The following is a 20349-nucleotide window of genomic DNA, read 5'->3' on the forward strand; positions in this document are numbered from 1 at the left end:
AGACACATGTCCGGGTAGCTACCTGCTGCCTCAGAAGCAGATCTTTTCTTTTTGTTTTTAGTTGCTGAGACCAAAAACTTGGCCGATTCTGTCTCTGGTCTGAGGCAAGAGTCCTTGCATCTGATTTTCCTAAGAGGCAGCCCAGAGGCTGGTCAATAAGGAGCTGGCCTGCTTTCCTTGGCCTCGGCATGGCCAGAGAGGCCAGGGCCCAAAGCAGCACCAGGATCTTGAACTAAGACACAGGCAACTCATTTCACTTTCCTGGCCGCCTCAACACATCTGTCTTGTTGGCCTGTGTCTAAACCTCTTGAGCGATTCCAGCTGCTGAGCCATGCCTGTAGACATGGCGACATTTGGTTTCTGTTAAAACAGAACAGGTCAGTGTGTTCACCTGCTTCATTTTTTTCCCTCCTGCACAAGGACAGGGACAGAGGCAGCCAAAAACTGATGCTGCTGATTTGGAGATCTCCCATTCTGTTTCAGTGACCTCATGCCTTGGACTGGATGCCGCTGGGTCTTTTAAAGCCGCTTAATTTCCTGTGTATTTCCAGCACTCAGCCAAAAAGAATGTACACTATGAAAAAAATGTCTACTACCCCTCAATTGCAGACCCTCTGGAAAAAAATATCTGGAAGGCTTTTAAATAAAAGAAATAATTACAACCTGCTGAGTGCCTTACAGAATCCATGAAACTCGACCTTTTCCAAAATATCATAGTATTTCCTGTGGCTTCTGTAGGCTAAGCCTTCGTGGATTTATAAGTATGTGTCCAACACAGTCTCTGGGCTCCATTTTTTAAAATCCAAAAGTCAGAGTTGAAAAGCACAAATCCATACTCTTGGAAGACAGCATCCCAAAAGGTGTTAAGTTAAAACCCAGCTGTAAAAATATAGGCTGCCAGCTGTCAGGGGTGGTGGGCCATGTGCATTTTTTTTTTAATTTAATGAATGGAGGTTTGATCTTCCAGCTTGCTGCCCAGTTGCAGCTTTTCAGATGCTGAACATGTCAGGTATGCCCTGCAGGTGTGTATAGTCACCGCTTACAACTACATGGTGGGTGGAGAGTGGTTTATGAGCCCTGAGATTCATAAATTCTAGTCTTTAGAACTCGCAATATAAGGATGGTTAAAAATTGGAAAGGGAGAGAAAAAAAAACATTCTGACCTTCAACTACCTGTGATCAATGATGCAGACTCCTGGTAGCCGGTCCCAAGAGAAAACTGAAACCTTTGAAAGACAAACCCAAGGAGACAGAAGTTTCTATTAACTTTCCAGAAGAGGTAAAGATTCTAAGCCTGGGTTCACTGTACATGACTGTGTCTTGCTATGACTGTGTGTGGACAGACAAGATGAACTAGAGGGTGTACAATTACATGGATACTTCGTCTTGCATAGACCACCTCAAATATGTGGTCATAAAAAATATCTTTCCCTAGGTGTTTTTGAAAAATAATTCAGATTATTATTTCAACTTCATGCTGTAGGTTGCCTGCCTTAGTTAAACCCGAGGAACTAGGGACTTCATTTCCAGTGGGGAAGAGTCGAATTCCATATCAAATTACTCTGAATAAAATAGTGAGTAGAAACTCACCGATCGACTCTAGTTAGTGTCAGCCTCAGGCTGAATTGGGAACTGATTACCATTTGTGTTCACAGTCTTCTGCCCTCCCCTTTTGTTCCTCTTAACCCCCAATGTTAGAGACCCTCTATTAAAGCTTGGCAGCACCCCAGGCTGGGGAATATCCCCCTGCTCAATCTCTTCTCTAAGAAACCAATAAAGTGATTTTGGTTAAGGTGAGAACAGCTAAGTATGGCCCACCTCCCAGATAACAGCAATGTTTTAATCCTTAAGGGAGAGTTCAAAAAAAGTCAAAATTCTTAGAAACAAGGCAAGCTGGTGAGGAAGATCTTTTTAACTGGGAGATGGGCATGTTCAATGCTTCTTATCCACCAGCTTCAAGGGAGTATGAGAACACTGCCTGAGAGATGGGAGTGTACAGATGAACTTGATTTACTCCATAAATCAAGGGTAGGGTTCGAGTGACTGGAAGTAGAGCAAAGATATCGAAACAGATTTTTTAAAATTGGCATCTCTTTACTTAGCCTCGATCTATTAAATAGAAGAATACATACAAATATTTTTATACAGAAAGAAAAATTCTAACATGCTCCAATCACCTGCCAGAGACACTTTATAAACTTACTACCATTTGGACTTGCTTCCACCATTTCAGAATTTCAGAATAGGTGAGGCTTTCCCATGTGGACCACAAGAATGACTACTGTGCACAAGGAGAGGCGGTTTTGAGATGCACAGTATGTGATTGCTGGAGGACACAAGCAAGGCAAGGAGCAGAATATGCAAACAGGCCATGGTAAGCTCTCAGATGAATTGTCTTGGGCTCCCAGTTAAGCTACAAATCTAGTAGGTAGAACCTTTCTTGTTTCTACGCCTCTATTTTAGGGATCTAATTCTTAGTAAAGCAACTCAGAAAGAAAAAAAATAATAATGCTTCTTTGTTTCTAGGACTTGGCCTTTTGTTTTATAATTAATATAGATTCCCACCCAATGCATAAATGTTTAAAGCATCATTTATATTGCATTGCCCACTTGTTAAAGTTTAAAATGTTGCAAATGGCCAAGAGTCTGTGCTTCAGTTACAAGCAAACTTGCTCGCCCCATGGTCTTAATCTCCAGCAAACAGTGGCATAAATGAACCTCTGGGTCAACTTTGTGTTTGCTGCACATCCTTTGCCATTATAAAATAAGATGAAAAGATTTGCTTTTAAGTCAAAGCCTAATTTAAAATATTTTAAGTATGGACATAAATGCGCTGGCCTAAAATGTGTGTGTTTGCACATGTGTGCACATCTATATCATATAGTTTACATAGAAATGGATGAAAAAAGTAGTCCTAAGCCAATACTGATATAATTAGCGAAAAAAAAAAAAAAAACACACACACATAAGGAGACATAAATTAGTGCCTTCAGACATAGGGATTATTTTGTTAACAAGGGAATGGGTCCAGAGATTGAACCATCTGCATTCAAATAAAGTAAGAGGTTCCTCCTCACGTGGTTCTTATATATGTTAATGTTTCACACTTCTTTGACTTATATGTCAACTCACAGGTGGATTGTGCAGTGGCTTCAAATTAAGGCAGCCTCTTAGTCAACTTGTCCTGAGCTGGGTTCTTAACTAGGTTCCTGACCTTATGACCTTATGACCAACACAGCTCCTGGTTCAGTAACTGAGTCCTTGTTCAGTTCTATCCTGGTTCTCCTTCTAGGCCTCCCAGGTCTCAGCCTGGTTTCTTTGAATCCCACTCTTACCACCCTAATTTTTAGGCAGTATGGATTTCCATTACAGGGTTATAATGCAGGAAGCATGGCATTGATAACGGGAAGTTGGGGTATGTTTCAGCAACACCTCCCTGTTTAAGGGGGAGATCAGTCTGCACTAGTGGGAGTGTTTGTATTCTAGAATATTTTTAAAAGAGGAAGCTCGAGTGTTTTCCAGTACACGGAGGAACTCTAGATAGCTGTGAAGGAGTTTCCCGGTTACCTTAATCAATGTATAAGTGATTGTCAATATTTTGTATAATAGATAATTATAAATTTTAGTAAATATAAGAATCACCCCGGGAGCTTGTTAAAATGCACATTCCTAGAGTCCATCCCCAGGGATCCTGATTCAGAAGTCGTGGGGTGTAGTTTATGAGCAGTGGTCTTTCCCCCTATTCTCTCTTGGATGGAATTTTGAGAAACATGGCTCTATGCCTTCATTGAACAACATCCACCTATAAATTACAAATTTTAATTTCATACAGACTATTATTGTTATAAAAATATTTACTGTCTTTAAAAGTTTAGTACATCCCTTACAATCTCACTTGCACCATTAATTCTTCCAGTAAATTATTTCTCTAAAACATAGATGTAAAACTTAACGTAGCCTGATCCAGATTGAATTACTGCAAATTGCTCTAAGCAGGGATGAAATGTAAATTAATGGGATTTCTGTAAATGCTTATTTTTTTCTAACTAATATTCTATGGTGGTGAGTTATGATATGTAGTCAAATATTGAACTGTTTTAGCTATTTTAGGAGATTAATTTACACTAGCTAAGAGAGGGAGAATAAGTTGATGATCAATTTAAGTAACCCTTACATTAATGGACTAAACTTTGTGGGAAAAAGTAAATGCAAACCAGAATTGCCCAGGTAAATGTTGCAGGCTGTCTGTTAGCACACTTAGACACTGTCTCCTTTTACCAGGGGATATGATGGAGAGAAACTCTGTTCCCTGATTTTAGGCACCTAAAGATCTAAATCTAAATAACAAAAACAATAACGATAATAGCTAATATTAGGGCTGGGTGCGGTGGCTCATACCTGTAATCCCAACATTTTGGAAGGCCGAGGCAGGAGGATTGCTTGAGCCCAGGAGTTCAAGATCAGCCTGGACAACATAGTGAGACCCCGTCTCTACTACAAATTACAAAAAATTAGTCTGACGTGGTAGTGTGCGCCTGTAGTCCCAGCTACTCAGGAGGCTGAGGTGGAAGAATTGCTTGAGTCTGGAATGTCGAGGCTGCGGTGAGCCATGAGTACACCAGTGCACGCCAGCCTGGCAAACAGAGCAAGACTCTGTCTTAAAAACAATATAGCTAATATTAATCAAAACCTTTCTATGTGCCAAGTATTTTTCATTTATTATTTCATATTATCTTCACTACATCCCTACAGATGGATACTATTATCAGCTCCAATTTACAGTTGAGGAAATGGAGGTTCAAAAAGGTTAAGTAATTTGCCCAAAGCCATACAGCCAGAAAGTGGCATAGCCAAAGTCTGACTCCAAAGCCTAGGAGACCCAGGTCATATCTACAGCTGAGAAAGGACTCACTCTCCACCATGCCACTGGTCTCCTCAATCAGTATTTCCTTTGTTTTAGGCATAAACTAGCTAGCTAAAACCTGCAGTTTGAAAAGTTCATGTCAAATGAAGTGACATACAGAGAACAATTGTGCAGATAATTTTCTTTAGAAAACAGAAGCAGAGAAAGAATCCCTTTTAAAATTTCAGTTTCAATATATTTTTGCAAGCATATTTTTGTCCCAGATGCTACCGTGTTCAACCTTGTCTGAGTCTGGTGACCAAACCTCAGTGAGCGTTCTGTCCAGGTATAGCAGCTGTTTTGGGCAGCCTAATAATTAGGCTCTCTATGTATATAATCTTTCAAGGAGAGAGGACATCAAACTGAGATTAGATTAGAGGAAAAAGAGCAAAAGAGGACCATGGATAGTAATCTATTCCCTTTTGTGATCAGCATGTAGAAAACAGTTTCAGAAATGTATTTTCATTTTTCACTTAAAAAATATTTGTATTTTACCTTCAGGGAAGGTATTCAGTATTCTAGCAGTTGCTTCAGAAAGAGGGAATTGGCTGGCACTGTGCCATGCATGCTTCATAGACAAAGCCACCTAGGTCCATAAACACAGTCATCTGAGGGGCGAAGGGCAGGGAAGGATTCAAGCACCTTAGTTCCAACTCCAGGTTGGATGTCCCTCTCGTTACCCCACGGTAAAAGGATTATTTCACTCCACTGTGAGGACTTGGCTGGCAGAAGGCATTTTCAGGCAGGCAGTGAGGAGAGCAGGGAAGAAAGGCAGGTGGGGAGCAGAATCCAAGACAGTGCAGAGGGCCTGGGAGACCAGGAGAACAGGGACAGCCCACAGTCAGAGGCCCTAAGGAGTATGTCTCCTAAGAGCCTTCAGCTGAATGTCCTTTCCCTCCCCATGGCGGGGCATCTCTCTCTACAACCTGTCCATGGTTCACTTTGTTCTGCCTCCTTCAACAGTGATTCTAACCCTGTTGTCATGTATTGATTACTTATGGCAAATAACATCAGGAGGAATTGGCAGTTGCGTGAAGATCAGTGGTGGGAATAAGAAGTGGGACTAGCAGGAAACGGATCACCATCATTAGTATCATTATTATTTAATTAAGCTTTGCTATTACAACAATAAATAATAACAATGAGAATAATAATAATGACGATAAGCTAGCATTTAGTAGACCAGGCGCTATGCCAATCATTGAAAATATGCATGTTTATTTAACCCTCAGGCTATTTTGATCAGTATTTTCTTTATCCCACTTTACAAATGATGTTGAGGTGTAAAGAGATAAGTACCTTGACCAAGGTCCTGGGCAGCTGAGTGGTAGTGCTGGGGCCCAGATCCCAAATTCTGACTGCAGACTCTGACTCCAGCACCTGCTTTCTTGACCACTGCGGGCCTGGCTTTCACAGGTGTTACCTTCCTGCATCCTCTCGGCACCAGGTTGAGCTTGGTGTCGCTATCCCTTCTTATAGATGAAGAAACTGAGGCTCAGAAACAGTAAACAATCTGCCCAGGGAGGAGGAACAGAGCTGAGGAACAAAAACAGGCCTCTAAGCTCCTCTACCAAAACTGCATAGACCACTCTGTAAAACACTCCAAGTAAGGATGGGACTTTATTTCTCACCCCTATGACTCCATGTCTAGGTAGAAGCAGAAGAGTTTGGGAAGAGATCCGACAACATGTGTGAGGAGATAGGGAAGCTGTATGCATTTAACCTATCTCCAGGGTCCCCATCACTTGAGAGAAGGGCCATCAATAAGGAGGTGGAGAAGGATCATCCGAGCTAGGCTGAGTCTTCTTTGACTTGCTAAAAAAAAAATGGGGAGGGAGAAGGCAATGGGCTAGTATGGGAAAGAATAAAGAAGAGAGAGGGCAGACATCAGGAAAGAACATCAGGCAGAGAGAAGCGTCTTAGAGCAGTAATCACAACCAAAATTTTGCGCACCAACAAAAGCCCATTGACGCTCAGACACCTCTGACTTTCCCCATTTCCTTCCCGATGGCACAAATGGAAGCTCTGATTTCCTCTTTCCTTTTCCTTCTGGCTGATGCATCCTGACAAATACAGTATGTAAAGCGCAGGGACGTGTGAAAGGAAAGTGTGGCGACGGTTGTTTTCCATCTCCCAATAATAGCGTTTCAATTTGGTACCTAAATAAACAATCTATTTTAGTGGCTCCCCTTTGATATCTCCAATGTTCCCTTCTGTTATTTCTGGCAGTTCCCAATCCTGTGATGTGATTAGAGAGGATGATTACACTTACATAACAGCATCAAATTAATTTGCCGCCGAGAACAACAGCGGTAGGAAATCATTGGAGTTCTCAAATTGCTCCCCCCACCCCCACCCGCCTCGAGTTTATTTAAGTGACATCAAGGGATTAGAGCGAAGTCGGTCAGTAGAGCACTGCTGGGAAAACAACCAAAACATCGACTCTGACCTTGTAAACGAAAGAGGAACAGAGCAAATAATGAATAGCGCTGGTCCCAGGCCTGGTGCAGGGGCCATTGGATGAATCAGCCTCCCAAACACACATTTCCGTCTGTCTGTGGGAGAAAGAAACAAACTGTACCTTTCAGTGCAGATTAGATTCATTTTCCTGGGGCTATGTCCAGCCATCCAGGGACTGTCAAAACCAAAGATATTTGAGATTTTGCTTATGTTTCTTTGCTTTGCTTTTTGGCCCCTTTTCAAAACAACAAGAAGAATGTAAAAGTTGACTTGAATTTTTTTACTCTGTGAGCCCTGAACAAAAGTCCAGAAAAATAAAGCAGAGGCAAATATTATTGCTTCTGGTTTTCTAAAAGATATGACAATAACAGCTCAGAAAACTGTAGCCCATGATTCCACCAAAGGTTAGAGGTTCAGAACAGGGAGCAGCACGTGGATGGCGTAGAAAAGGGACCCCTTTAAGTCCTACTCGCAGTTTAGTTCTGACACGAACCTTCAACAGTTACTTCAACTCTCTGAGCCTTGGTTTTCTTACCCAAGATAGCAGATATTACCGTCTTTCATCTCTGTTACAGGGTGGGTGTTCACCCATCCGTTCATTCTGTTAATCCATCCATTCAACAAGTATTTATCGAACACCAATTCTGTCTCAGGAACTCTGCTGGTAACTGGGAATACCAATGGACGTGGTCAGCCCTAGGAGCTTATGTCCTAGCGGAACAGGGAAATAAAAACAGCCAGTGTGCTCTGAGGGCCTGCATGGGCAGGCACTGACCTCTCCACCCTTCATCCCTTATCACATGTGAATTTCACAACCACCATGCATGCGTAGGTATCTCTGTCTATTTTACAGATGAGGAAATTGAGCCCAGATGTGTTAAATAACACTACGCCAAATCACACTAGGAAGCAATGAGATTGAAATCCAAACCTAGGTTTTCAGAATATAAAGCCATGCTATATCCCTTTATATTTTTTGGAACCTGACAAGCTCTGAAGCACTCTGCAAATACAAGGAACTACTTTAAGTGTGTTTGCACAAGCTGTTCATATACTAGACAGACATCACAAATGCATGAATTTCTATTGCTTTAGTCCAGTGATTACAGCACTTGATTCTTTTTAAAGCAAATCCACTTCTATTATCCCGTTTGATCCTTGTAACAGCATCACGATACATGTGGAGCAAGTATTATTACTCCCACTGGACAGATGAAGAGACCAACATTAAGCAACTGGCCAAGGCCCTTGACCCAGACCCGGAACACTGGTCCGTGGCTACTCACTTGCTCTTCTTCCTCAACCTCCTCTCAATGAGTCTGAATAAGGATGATGTTTTCAATTTTGGCCTCAATAGAATTATGGTTACTTCCTATATTGTGTTAGTCTTTTGAGTCCTAATGGCATCCCTTTTTGGGTAGAAATCCATATTCACAATATAGCATGAGGTATTTTTATTTGTCTGCTTTGAAAATCATCGGCTGCTTTTCCACCTTGTGAGAACGTGTCACATTTTCCCATCATCTTTTGTTTACATCATTGTTTCACTACCATGGAGGTTTCGTTGTGCATTCTTCTCACTTAGCTCTTTTAGAAGACTGCTCTTAACACCAACATATGGGGTTTCCAAAGTTGGGATTACTCCAGTTAGATGAATTTGACCCTTTGTTCCAAACAAACTCTTGCTAATTCCAGCTGTACTGTAGCATCCATATCATCTGAGTCTGCTTGTTCATACTTCTCTTACTTCATAAAATGGACATCAAAAAATTATTAGGGCTGTTTTAGTCTCATGGCTTAATTCCTTCCTAGTTCTTCTACCTGAAATGCTTGACCCCCAACTTTGACGCCCTTCCCTCATTCTTCAGGGACAACTCAACTTCCACATCCTTGAGGATACATGTCCACAATACCTCTGCCAACATTGACATCCACCTCCTCTGAATTTCCAAATCCCATAGACTGTCAGAGGTTTGCTGCACAGGCACATTGGAGGAGCTCTGGTCCTAGTCCTTTCTTATACAGATGAGGAAACTAGGACCCAGAGAGGGCAAATGACTTTCCAGTTGGTGGCAAAGCTGGAAATAGGGCTCCATTCTCTTGCTTCTTGAAGCTAGCACTTCCCTTCGACTCCTTTCTCTTTCCTTCTAATGTCTGTGGAATGTGGGTTGTGTATGCTCAGTCTGGAATGGATATCTCTCTTATTATCCCCGTAAACTCAGTGCACTTCTTGAAGATGAGAGCTGAGTCTTTTTTTTTTTTTATATATACTTTAAGTTTTAGGGCACATGTGCACAGTGTGCAGGTTTGTTACATATGTATACATGTGCCATGTTGGTGTGCTGCACCCATTAACTCGTCATTTAGCATTAGGTATATCTCCTAATGCTATCCCTCCCCCCTCCCCCCACCCCACAACAGGCCCCGGTGTGTGATGTTCCCCTTCCTGTGTCCATGTGTTCTCATTGTTCAATTCCCACCTATGAATAAGAACATGTGGTGTTTGGTTTTTTGTCCTTGCTATAATTTGCTGAGAATGATGGTTTCCAGCTTCATCCATGTCCCTACAAAGGACATGAACTCATCCTTTTTTACGGCTGCATAGTATTCTATGGTGTATATGTGCCACATTTTCTTAATCCAGTCTATCATTGTCGGACATTTGGGTTGGTTCCAAGTCTTTGCTATTGTGAATAGTGCCGCAATAAACATACGTGTGCATGTGTCTTTATAGCAGCATGATTTATAATCCTTTGGGTATATACCCAGTAATGGGATGGCTGGGTCAAATGGTATTTCTGGTTCTAGATCCCTGAGGAATCGCCACACCGACTTTCACAATGGTTGAACTAGTTTACAGTCCCACCAACAGTGTAAAAGTGTTCCTATTTCTCCACATCCTCTCCAGCAGAGAGCTGAGTCTTTTTCATCTCTGAATCCCATAGCATTTTCCACAAACCCAACACATAGAAGCTGTTCAAGAAATGGTTGTGGGATACATGATTGTTCTTCATGGAAACGATCTGCCTTTTCACCTACAAGGTTGTTTGCTAACTCATCTCCTGTTTGTTCCCTCTCTTGTTCTTGCAGCAGTTTCTCTCCTCCATGCAAATCATGTCCACTCCATTCCATACCTCTGCAGAAAACTCTGACTTCGGCTTAACCTGCATTCATTCATTCACTCATTCATTTATTCACTGAATATCTGCAAAGTGTCTGTGCTGTGCCAGGCACCGTCCTGGTACAGGGGATGTAGCAGTGAACAAAACGAAATCCTTGCCCTTGTGGGGCTTATCATCCCTCAATATCTCCACCTTCTCCTAAGTGACAGCTCCCAAACTGAGGGAAACCCAGGGTTTCACAAAAAAAGTTTCTGCAATGTTCATATCATTAAAGGTGATAATAGCAGATATTTTAATTTCTACTTAAATAACTGGATGAATGTAGTGAATAATTACATATGGTTTTCATTTAAAAGAGCAGAGTTTGGCATCACCTACCTGTGCTCATGACTTCGTCACCCTCCACCATTGGGTGAGGAGCTGAATGTTACCAGTTATTGTGGCAACTGAATGACGAGGCAATTTAAAATGTTTATTTTTGGTTAATTGTTTAATTGATTAAGTTGTCTGATTCTTACCCACAGCGGGTTTTTGGTAATGACAAATAGTAGAAGAATTCTGAAGTAAAATTTGAAAAGTTTATAAAGACTGTGCATCTGATGATAACTTTATAAATATATGTCAAAGTATTCTTCACTGGATTTCAGAATTGCATTTACCTGTCACATAACCCATTAAGATCTCTCCGTTAAGTTCAAAAATCAATGTTAATAATGGAAAGTTTGGTGTTGCTTATATCCAGTTTGGCTTTTAATTTTTTGTATAGATGTGTTTACTAATAGCAGCCAGAAATCCTCTTTTATTTCACTAGAAATAAACAAAGAATAAAAATAAATCACATGTTTTTACCCAAAATGTAAGCTTTTCTAGCATTAGTTGTAAAGGCAGATTTTGTCTGTTTTTGACTACTTTTGATACTATGAGACACAGTTAAATTTCAACCTACAGTTCAATATTTATTTAGTTGCCAAACTAAGCACACTAATAGATGTCATTTTAATGTATGTTTCATAAATGGTCATTTCTTACATAATTAAAGTAAATTAAACCATGGGAATCACTTTTTAGATGGAACTCATTCAGAATTTATTATTATAATCCATGAATATTAGTAAATACTATATTCAATTAATTTTGTAATAAAATCTTTAATATACACTTATCTAAAATGACGCATACATTTTAAAACTTTAACTCATTTCATTTTGCATTACATGCAAAACCATTAGATGTTTAAAAAAATGTTCAAATAATATATATTACTATGAAATGAGTGCATAAGTTTAGAAATGGCTGGGGAACGCTGTTCTAGACTCTTTATATCTGCCCTTGCCCTTACCATCTTTGCACCTTCTCTAAAACAACCGTCCTTCTCAGCACTGTTGATCATCTTTTCTCTCCCTTGCATCATCAGTCTTTCCTTTTCTACTTTCTTCTTTTCCTCAAATCCATAAACATTATCAGGTCTCTCTATTCTACACAGCCAGCCAACCAGCTATACACAGGTTCAGGAAAACTCCTTCCCAGTCCTGTCTTCCCCTCAAGCTGCCACCTTACACAGTCAAACTTCTGCAAAGAGTATTTTTCTGCCATTTTCTCTGTCTCAGGGCCTTTGCACTAGCTGTTCTTCTGCCTAGAATGTTCTTCTCACAATTCTTTGTATCACTGGCTAAGTCCTGCCATACAGGTTTCAGCTCCTGTAAGAGCTGACCAACCATGCTACAGTGCCCAAACAATCCGTCTTCTGATTCTGAGTATTTATTACTATCTGACACTTTCCTTGTCCCAAAAACAGAGCACATCCCTGGATGTGACTCCAGGGTGTAAAATAGTGCCTGGCACATAGAAAGTGCCCATGCTTACTTGTTGAATAAAGGAACAGACAAGTAAATGATGAACCCTTTCAGCCTCCCTTGCTGGTTTCTTCCCTCTCTCCCGACCCCCAAATGCTTGCTTTGTGCAGGAGTCTGCCTTTTAACCTCTTCCCTCCTTCCTTTTCACACTCTCACTGGGTTATCACAGCCACCCGTCACCCTCAGAATTCCAACATTCACCCACATGGAGATGGCAAACACAGAGCACGGTACAGCCCAGCAATGCAGACATTGCTAGCAGATCTCTGCTCTCTTTTCAGGATAGTCTAGTGTGCATGGTGATCCAAGACAGGATCTTCCAATCAATGGGACCGGCACCTCTAGGTGAAGGCTATTTGCTTTCTTTGACCTATATGTCAATGACTTCCCAAATCTATGTTTGCAGCACTGGAATTTTCAGACCCCTTTGTCAAACAGCCTTCTGGACACTTTCATTTGTTCACCTCTACCATCCAGCACAATGCCTGGCACAGGGTGAATGCTCAGTAATTCTCCATGCTACAATAAGCATGTATTCAGTGACACGACCCACTCAGATAGTCTCTACCAGCTTGCTAGGTATAAAAGGGAGGCTCACCTATTTGTGCTTCTCTTCTTTCAGAGTTGTGGTGGCAATTTGCCAGGTCTCGAGCACAGTACCCATTTGTAACAAGTTACACGTTTTGGCCAATAGTTCCACAATTTCACCCTTGAGTTCCTTCAAAACTCTTGGGTGGCTGCCATCAGTTCCGGTGATTTATTTACACCTAGGATGTCATTCTAGGACATCCTGTCCATTTGCCACAACTTGTTCCAAGGCTGGAGACCTCTCTGTTTTCAAATACAGTTGGGGAGTGGGAATTTTCCTCTTCACCTCCATGGTAACAGCTAATGCCAAGGATTTGCCACGACTCTCTCAACTAGTTTTTGCTCATTTTTAAAGTGGTGATGATCAAGTGAGTCCAACTGATATAATGGTCTCTCTCATTTTTTCCCTGCCATCGGTACATAAGAAAAGAATACTTTCTGATTGGCATAGAAATTCCCTGCAAAGTCATCCTCAAATTATCTCCTGAAGCACTGTGCCAACTAACTCTATAAAGTTCCAGCTGATAACTCAGATGGATTCAAAAGCTTTCACACCCACCAGATCATTTAATCTGAATTAAGAATTCTGAAAGATTGATAAGAGAGGCCAGACAGTTACCATTTTACAGACAAAGAAACTGAAGTCCAGAGTGATCCAGAGATCTGAATGCCACATAGCAAGTTAGCACCTGAGCTGAGGCTCAAACCGTTCTTCAGATTTACAATCCAGTGGGTTTTCTCCTTGCTACACCTTGATTCAGTTGAACTGCATCAACCTATTCTAATCCAATCAAATGCTGAATGAATAGTCATTAGGACAACTGGAAAGAACTAACTGACGTCAAAATGGTTGATTCAGTAGCCACATGCATCTATGGCCTCATGTAACAAAAATGCACTCTGCTAAGAAATATTCCCCAAGGAGAGCCTGAGAGAACACACTGAAGAGTCCTGCCTTACAGAGGCCAGCCTGGACTATGTTTGAGGGTGGACAACACAACACACATAAATACATACATAGCTTTGTGCATTTCAAGGCTTAAAAGTTCTTGTTGCTGGATTTTATCTTGAGATTAATTGAATTCTCACTATAGGATCCTCAACTGGAATCCAGGTTGAGGGGGACATGGGGGCCAACTCTAGCAATGAATACATCATCAAACGGGGGGCAACTTTGAGTCAGTAGCAACCACAATTCCCACAAGAGAATAATGAGGAAGCTGAGTAGTTGGAAGGATTAAATACTGGCATTTCATTTTTAGGATCACATTTTGCGTGCAACCACAGCTCCAGACCTGAAAGACTGGCCGTCTCAGATTTGCCCATACACATAGAGAAATCTGCCTCTAATGTAATCTGACATCGTCCCTACTCTCTGATTAACCACTTTTGGGTGGGCCTCAAAGAAGTGCGTGCCAAATGATGCCCTGTGGATCTCAGGAGCTGCCAGTTTCATTTTCCCTTCTACCTACTCTTTTCCCAAGTATTATCTTGCCAGTTGGGAAGATATGATGGAATGGAAAGAAATATTTAACCATCTTTGATACAAAGATAGGAGGGGGAAATATGATTTGCTATCCTATTTTCCCCCATTGAGGAGATAAAAAGTACTTTGTTAGATTTAATTTCTTTGGTACAAAGATTAGTCTGAGAGTATTTTGAACTTGTCAGTCATTCAACTCAGTATTTTAAATTTTTTAAAAGCATAACCTTGAAGTATATGTGGGCTTTTTTTAATAGTTTTAAATTTGAAGCCCCTGAATATTTTATAAAAAGTTCAATTTGTATGTGTGTTTTTTTAAAAGGTTTTAATTTACTTCATTAGAAGCTCTCTGAGCTTTAAAATATTTTTTTTTTTCAATGTTTCTGAGCCTTCCTTTGGAAGAATAAAATGCTCTTCTAAGAAATGTCAATTGATCGTTGGGGTGGAGGAACTGTGCAGAGGATGAATGTGGGCTAAACATTCTCTGGCACCTAGTTGATCTCTCTTCCACATGAAGCGTATTTGCTAACGAAGGGAGCATTGGTATGGGACCGAAGAAAGGATTCCCTTAGTCTGTTAATTTACTTGGAATAATTCATTAGCTGACACTTTTAGCTATGAATTTAGCTGGTAAATCCCAGATCACCCCAATATTATGTGTAAAGAGGATAGTTCAGTCTTTTTGTGAGAACTTTGGGAGGATGGATTAAAGCCCTTTCTCCCATAGTTACCCTGACATAAGGGAGCTTGTTAATAAAGAGCTCTTTGGATCCTTTCCTTTGTACAGGCACCGTATGAATATTTATGGAATATTTCATCTGTAAACAGCATTAAAATATAAACAGAGCATACCAAGAAATAGGAAGGCCATTTTCACCTAATGCATAGCAGTGCTGTGAAAATGCTAGGGTTCCATTCCTGGTTATCAGCTAAGGAACAGCAAAGAAGGAAAAAGTTATTTGTTTAACAAATCAGGGGGCAGCAAGTCGTGTGATCCAGTGGAGCTTTGGTATTCTTGTTAATCAAGTCTTCTGGGTAATTGAATGACGATGCATGTCTATACATGCAGACAGACACACACACACACACACACAGACACACATACAGGTGCCTGATATTTGTAACCACTGTGACTGGTCATATGAGATTGTTGCTTTTGTAGATAAAAAGTGGTCAAATATCAGAGTTTTTGTATGACGCTGCCTAATTAGTGCCACCCTAAGTTTCTGGCCCTTCTCCTTTTGGGCACAGGGAGGGGTGGGAATATGAAATTGCTGTTCACACGTGGGCTCCTACTAGCAAGATGAGCAGGAAAGGGAGGAGAGGGAGGAGTTGAATGAAACCTTCACAGAGACCAACTTCTGCAGATTCCATGGGCGACATTGCCTCTTCGAAGCAGCAGGATGGAGGACGTGGGGGTGCCACCCAGCCTGTACACCAAAGACACTTCCCACTCACCAGTTGTGGCTGTGTGCTCTTGATTGCAAACCTCTGGTACCCATCACAGATGTATTATCAATTTTCAAAGGGATTCGTATACAATAAAATACACTCAACAAGAAAACCACCCAGAACGCAATGAATCATTCTTTGATGATTCAGAAGGCACTTTAGGATCCTGTAGTGCCTTAGGGGCAGCATTACAAACATCAATTATCTTATGGTAAATGTGTAGAACAGCTAGTTCACAAGTTAAGAAAGAGCTGGGCAACTCTCTTTTATGATATGTTTTTTTAAAAAATTATGTTTTATCCCAGGCCTTTTCTACTTTCAAGCTCTTGCCCAGAATGTTGCTTCTATTTTTGCAAAAATGGCTCACTTACCAGCTTGGAGAAGTACCTCTCCTATGGTGTGCCTGAGTAAGTAAAACTGAAGTTGTCTCATTTTCCTATGAGCCATTTCTGGGGGTAGACTTCTGTCCTGTCCTTCTCCCCTAACCATTTAGGTATGCCTCTAATTAAATTCAAAACACTATATGAGAATTTTGGTCTGACAAAGATGACAAATATTTGTTTAGAAAGCTCAGTCAGGTGGCACACTTATGCACGGTTCAGTTTCAAATGTTCCTTAAAACCAGGAGGGTGTGTGATTCTATTGAATTCAGGCCAATTGCAAGCTAAGTTTCTCCCTCTTTGCAAACTACAGTAGTTGGTAATGAAAAAAAAAAAGTCTAGTCCTTGGAAATCAAGTTCTTGAGCACTTTTGAAAACAGACTAATCCAAAACATCTGCAAGAATTTTATCTTTAAAAACCCAGGTGTCTAAAACATAAGGGGAAAAATATACAAATGAGACTTTGTCAACCAAGTTTTTGAAAAACAGGTTTCTAGCAGAAAAAGAAGCATCTAGAATAAAATGCAGCTGGCTTTATGAATCTTTATTTTCCATGGTGATTCTTCCTTTTTGGTCTTCAACAAAGAATGGAATTTCTAGGTGAGTCTTGTCAGATTTTCCAAAAGTACTATTAAACTAAAACGAGGGGATTCCAGGCAAGATAACATCTCTGGGAGGCTCAACTCTGGCTTGAATTTATTAAAAACTTCTGGTTCTTAATTTAAATTTTAATGGTGGTAGACCCAAAGCAGCCAGACACGAAGGTTATGGTATCAGATGTGAATAACTGAAGACAGATGTGCTGTATTTCTATCAAACCAGAGGCCTGGGCCTTGCCCCATCTATGGTGAAAGGTCACCAGAATTCAGAGAAAGGAGGACATATTACAGCCAACTGTGTGCCTTTAAAGAAGTGCATGAAACACACACAGTACACACACACACACCCACGCACACACACACCACACACACAGGGAATAAAGGAGCATCTCCAGGTTGCTTATACACATATTTACTCCTACTATTACAAGGTGAGCCTACACATGATCTAAAGAAATGTCATTTTACTTGAAGCTACTGTGGCTTTGTAGCTACATTTTCTTACAAGTTCAATATCATCTAACCGCTACCCTAAAATTATGTCTGCAAGGGGGACTATTGGTATTTCGTAAACTGCTGCTGCTTCTCCTCTTTCTCTGTTAGACATGGTCTAATGGGTTTAGAAAATGACATTCAAGATGCTGCTTTGCCAATTAGAACTTCCGCTACCTGATTCTTGAAGGACATAGCACGCCTAATTGTGTGCTCAGACATTTTATTAAGTTGTTTTGAGTGCTGAAAGTCTTTTAACCTTCATATAGACCCATATTCATAAACAAAAATGTTTTCAGGGAAAAAATAACAGGGAAAAAGGCATTTAATTACAAATAAAAGTACTGTTTCCAATATGCACAGATTTTTTTTTTTTTTTTTTTTTTTTTTTTTTTAACCAACCTACCAAAGCAAAGGCAGGCTGCAGATGGTGAAAACTGAGTTGGGAAAACTGCACAGATATTTTCCCAAAACGTTCTCAGCGATGCTGCAAATGCCATTCTGGGTAGCCGAGAGGAAAAGACAGCAAGCATCATCTTGCCAGGGGCAGAACCTATTCCCAAGCCACTTTGAGAGCAGGAGTTGAACAAATATGATTTAGATGTTTCCCCCGCCCTGGAAACATGGTCTTGGGTTAACCGGTCCTTGGACAAATTTAAGAACAGTGTCTCCTACCAGGGAAATTATCTCATGCAAGAAAAAAAGTTCCCTTAAGCATCAAATTATTTTTCCTTAACTTTCTTTTAGAAAGTTTCCTTTTCAAAGTTTAGGAGGTTACACAGCATGTTAAACTCTTGACGAGATCTAAGGCAGAGGAGCGAGGAGGTTCGCTGCTGCCAGCCTTCCAAGAGAACCCAGTCATTAAGGAGCCCCAACTGTCACCAATCATACGGATCCCCATGTGGGACACACTTTAGCATGAACACAACCTTGCCTCGGAAAGCATACGTGGGAAAATATGCCAGGGGGGTAGCTCCCCAATTCTCCTGCCCAAAGATGTTTGCCATAGACTACGCTGACTGGCCCATTCAGGAGCCCCTCGGGTTTCCGCTGGACCTACCCTTCTGATTTGAGATCATCCACGTGTTTTCCCACCTCCGGAGGCTTTTATTTTCTGCTTCCTCCCTTCTTAGTACAGTGCCAATCACTGCTCTCCCCCGCCGCCCCCCTCCCCAAAGGCTCTCTGAGGCTGCTCCCTTTGTGATTGGCATCTCATTAATGAAGAAGGGCTGGTGTCTCTCATTACAGTTAGAGTGAGTGAGAGGACCTCAGAACTAATTTACTTGCTCTCACTAGGGAAGACACTTGCCTCCATCAAGAACTTCACTTTCCTGCTGCCTGTGGCAATAAAAGAACCCGTTTTGTTTTAACATTAATAAGGTGAGAGAATAGAGAATTTCCAAAAGAAATTAAGAAAGGCAAGAGGGTAGGTGTTGGCCCATGGAAGTTTCCCTAAAGCAGGTCTGATGGCGGAGTTCAGTGAGAGGCCTTTGATGCGGCAACATCTGGACCACATGAAAAAAAGCCTAGCAGGCAAATGAGAGACTGGCCAAGCAGAGAGGCTGGGGTGGGAAGCGGGGGGTATGGGTTCTAATCCTAGGTCCTAAGTCCCTGAGTGACCTTGGGCGAGTCTTTGATTTTTCTCTGGTCCTCAATTTTACTATCAGTAAAATAAAGGAATGGAATAAAATGGTCTTTTAGGGTTCTCTCAGCTCGAAAATTTTAATATTCTGTAAATGGGGCTCTGGACTATTTAAAACTTTTTTCATGTTTGGAGTGAGTTTTTTTTTTATCTCTGGCAACAAATTAGAAATTCCTCCAGAATTAAAGAGCATGGAATGGAAATCATTTGGCTTCTCCAGCTGAAAAGGTCAACTAGATTCAGAAATGTACTCCAAGGCTGCACTGTCTGCATGGAAACCTAATTAGAGATGATACTTCATTGGCTAAAAGGGATCAAACTTATCTGAGCTTTCATCTGGATATGTATTTTTAAAAAATTACTCTGAGTTACTAATTCATTTATCTTTCTACTTACAGGAAATTCCACTCATTGATAAAGCTCGGCTTCGACGCCCCTGCTCACAATGAAATACCTTCCTTGCCAACCACATTGCTTTATGATCGTGCCCCTTTACCACATTGTACTTGAAATGCCTTGTCATTTAAGAAACCATAAAAACGACGTCTTTAAAAATGGGTTCATCATTTAGCTGGAGATGGCTTCTGTGCCTGGAACCAGAAGCCTGTCCTCTCGGTGGTATGCCTCCACAAAAGGAAGCGAGCTACCACAAAGGACAGCATCATGTGTTGCCTTCATTGCTATTGAATCGGGAAGTTGGTGCCCAGTTTCAACATGGATGACAAAGTAGTGGGAATCTGAAATGCCTACAGTAGAAGTAAGGGTGTCTTTATATTGGGAATATCCTCGATCCCAGGGCCCATTTCTAATTCCCCCTTCTCTCTTTCCCTGATACAGGCTATTTTTGAACGAGAAGGACTTTGGCTCAAATCAACAGTTTGGTTTCTTACTGTTTACATCTATGAGTCAAAGTAGCTTGCTCCCAGGATCCCCCACCAAACCGAATGAAAATAAATTCAATGTGTGCCCACTGAGCCTGGCCTGGGAGTTCTTGAGATCAACTCAGAATCATGGTCTTTCTGTCACTCCCAAAACAATCCTACCTAATTCTACTTGTTCCTAAGTATTGCCTTAGGATACTGACAGTCTTTTCTCCTACTTACAGCTTTTGAATGAAATTAAAGCTAATCCTCTCTGGCTTGGTCGGGTCTTGTGTAAGATTCCCACACCCCACAATCAAGGCCTTGCAATGTGGTGTTAGAAGAGATAGCCAAGTTACCACACCTGTATCACGATTCGGATAAGGATAGTATTTTTTGCCTTCCATGAGACAGCTTTGAAAACCTGAGTCACAGAAGCTGCTTCATGCAAATCCTTCCACTTTCCTCCTCACTGCCAGTACATTGGCACCTCCTTCTTAAAATGAGAAGAGAAG

General features: G+C 41.1%; 1 protein-coding gene and 1 long non-coding RNA gene across 3 annotated transcripts in view, besides 1 other annotated feature; one reads left to right on the top strand and one right to left on the bottom strand.

The window, feature by feature from the left end:
• The window catches only part of RORA (RAR related orphan receptor A), a 741019-nt gene that overhangs the window by 257086 nt on the left and 463584 nt on the right, over positions 1-20349 (bottom strand). The window lies entirely within an intron of this gene.
• Positions 6163-6357: a silencer, noted in NCBI's record as "fragment chr15:61043731-61043925 (GRCh37/hg19 assembly coordinates)". NCBI's record gives its function as "represses an EF-1alpha promoter that drives an FKBP-Casp9 reporter gene in an ReSE screen in HepG2 liver carcinoma cells {active_cell/tissue: HepG2}" and the evidence as "EXISTENCE:reporter gene assay evidence [ECO:0000049][PMID:32094911]".
• On the top strand, positions 18248-19948 carry RORA-AS4 (RORA antisense RNA 4). The gene is made up of 3 exons (XR_007064662.1): positions 18248-18712; positions 19373-19731; positions 19812-19948. It is a non-coding gene; the product is annotated as an RORA antisense RNA 4 (long non-coding RNA).

This window comes from Homo sapiens, chromosome 15 (assembly GCF_000001405.40).
Source record: "Homo sapiens chromosome 15, GRCh38.p14 Primary Assembly".
NCBI classification, from domain to species: domain Eukaryota; kingdom Metazoa; phylum Chordata; class Mammalia; order Primates; family Hominidae; genus Homo; species Homo sapiens.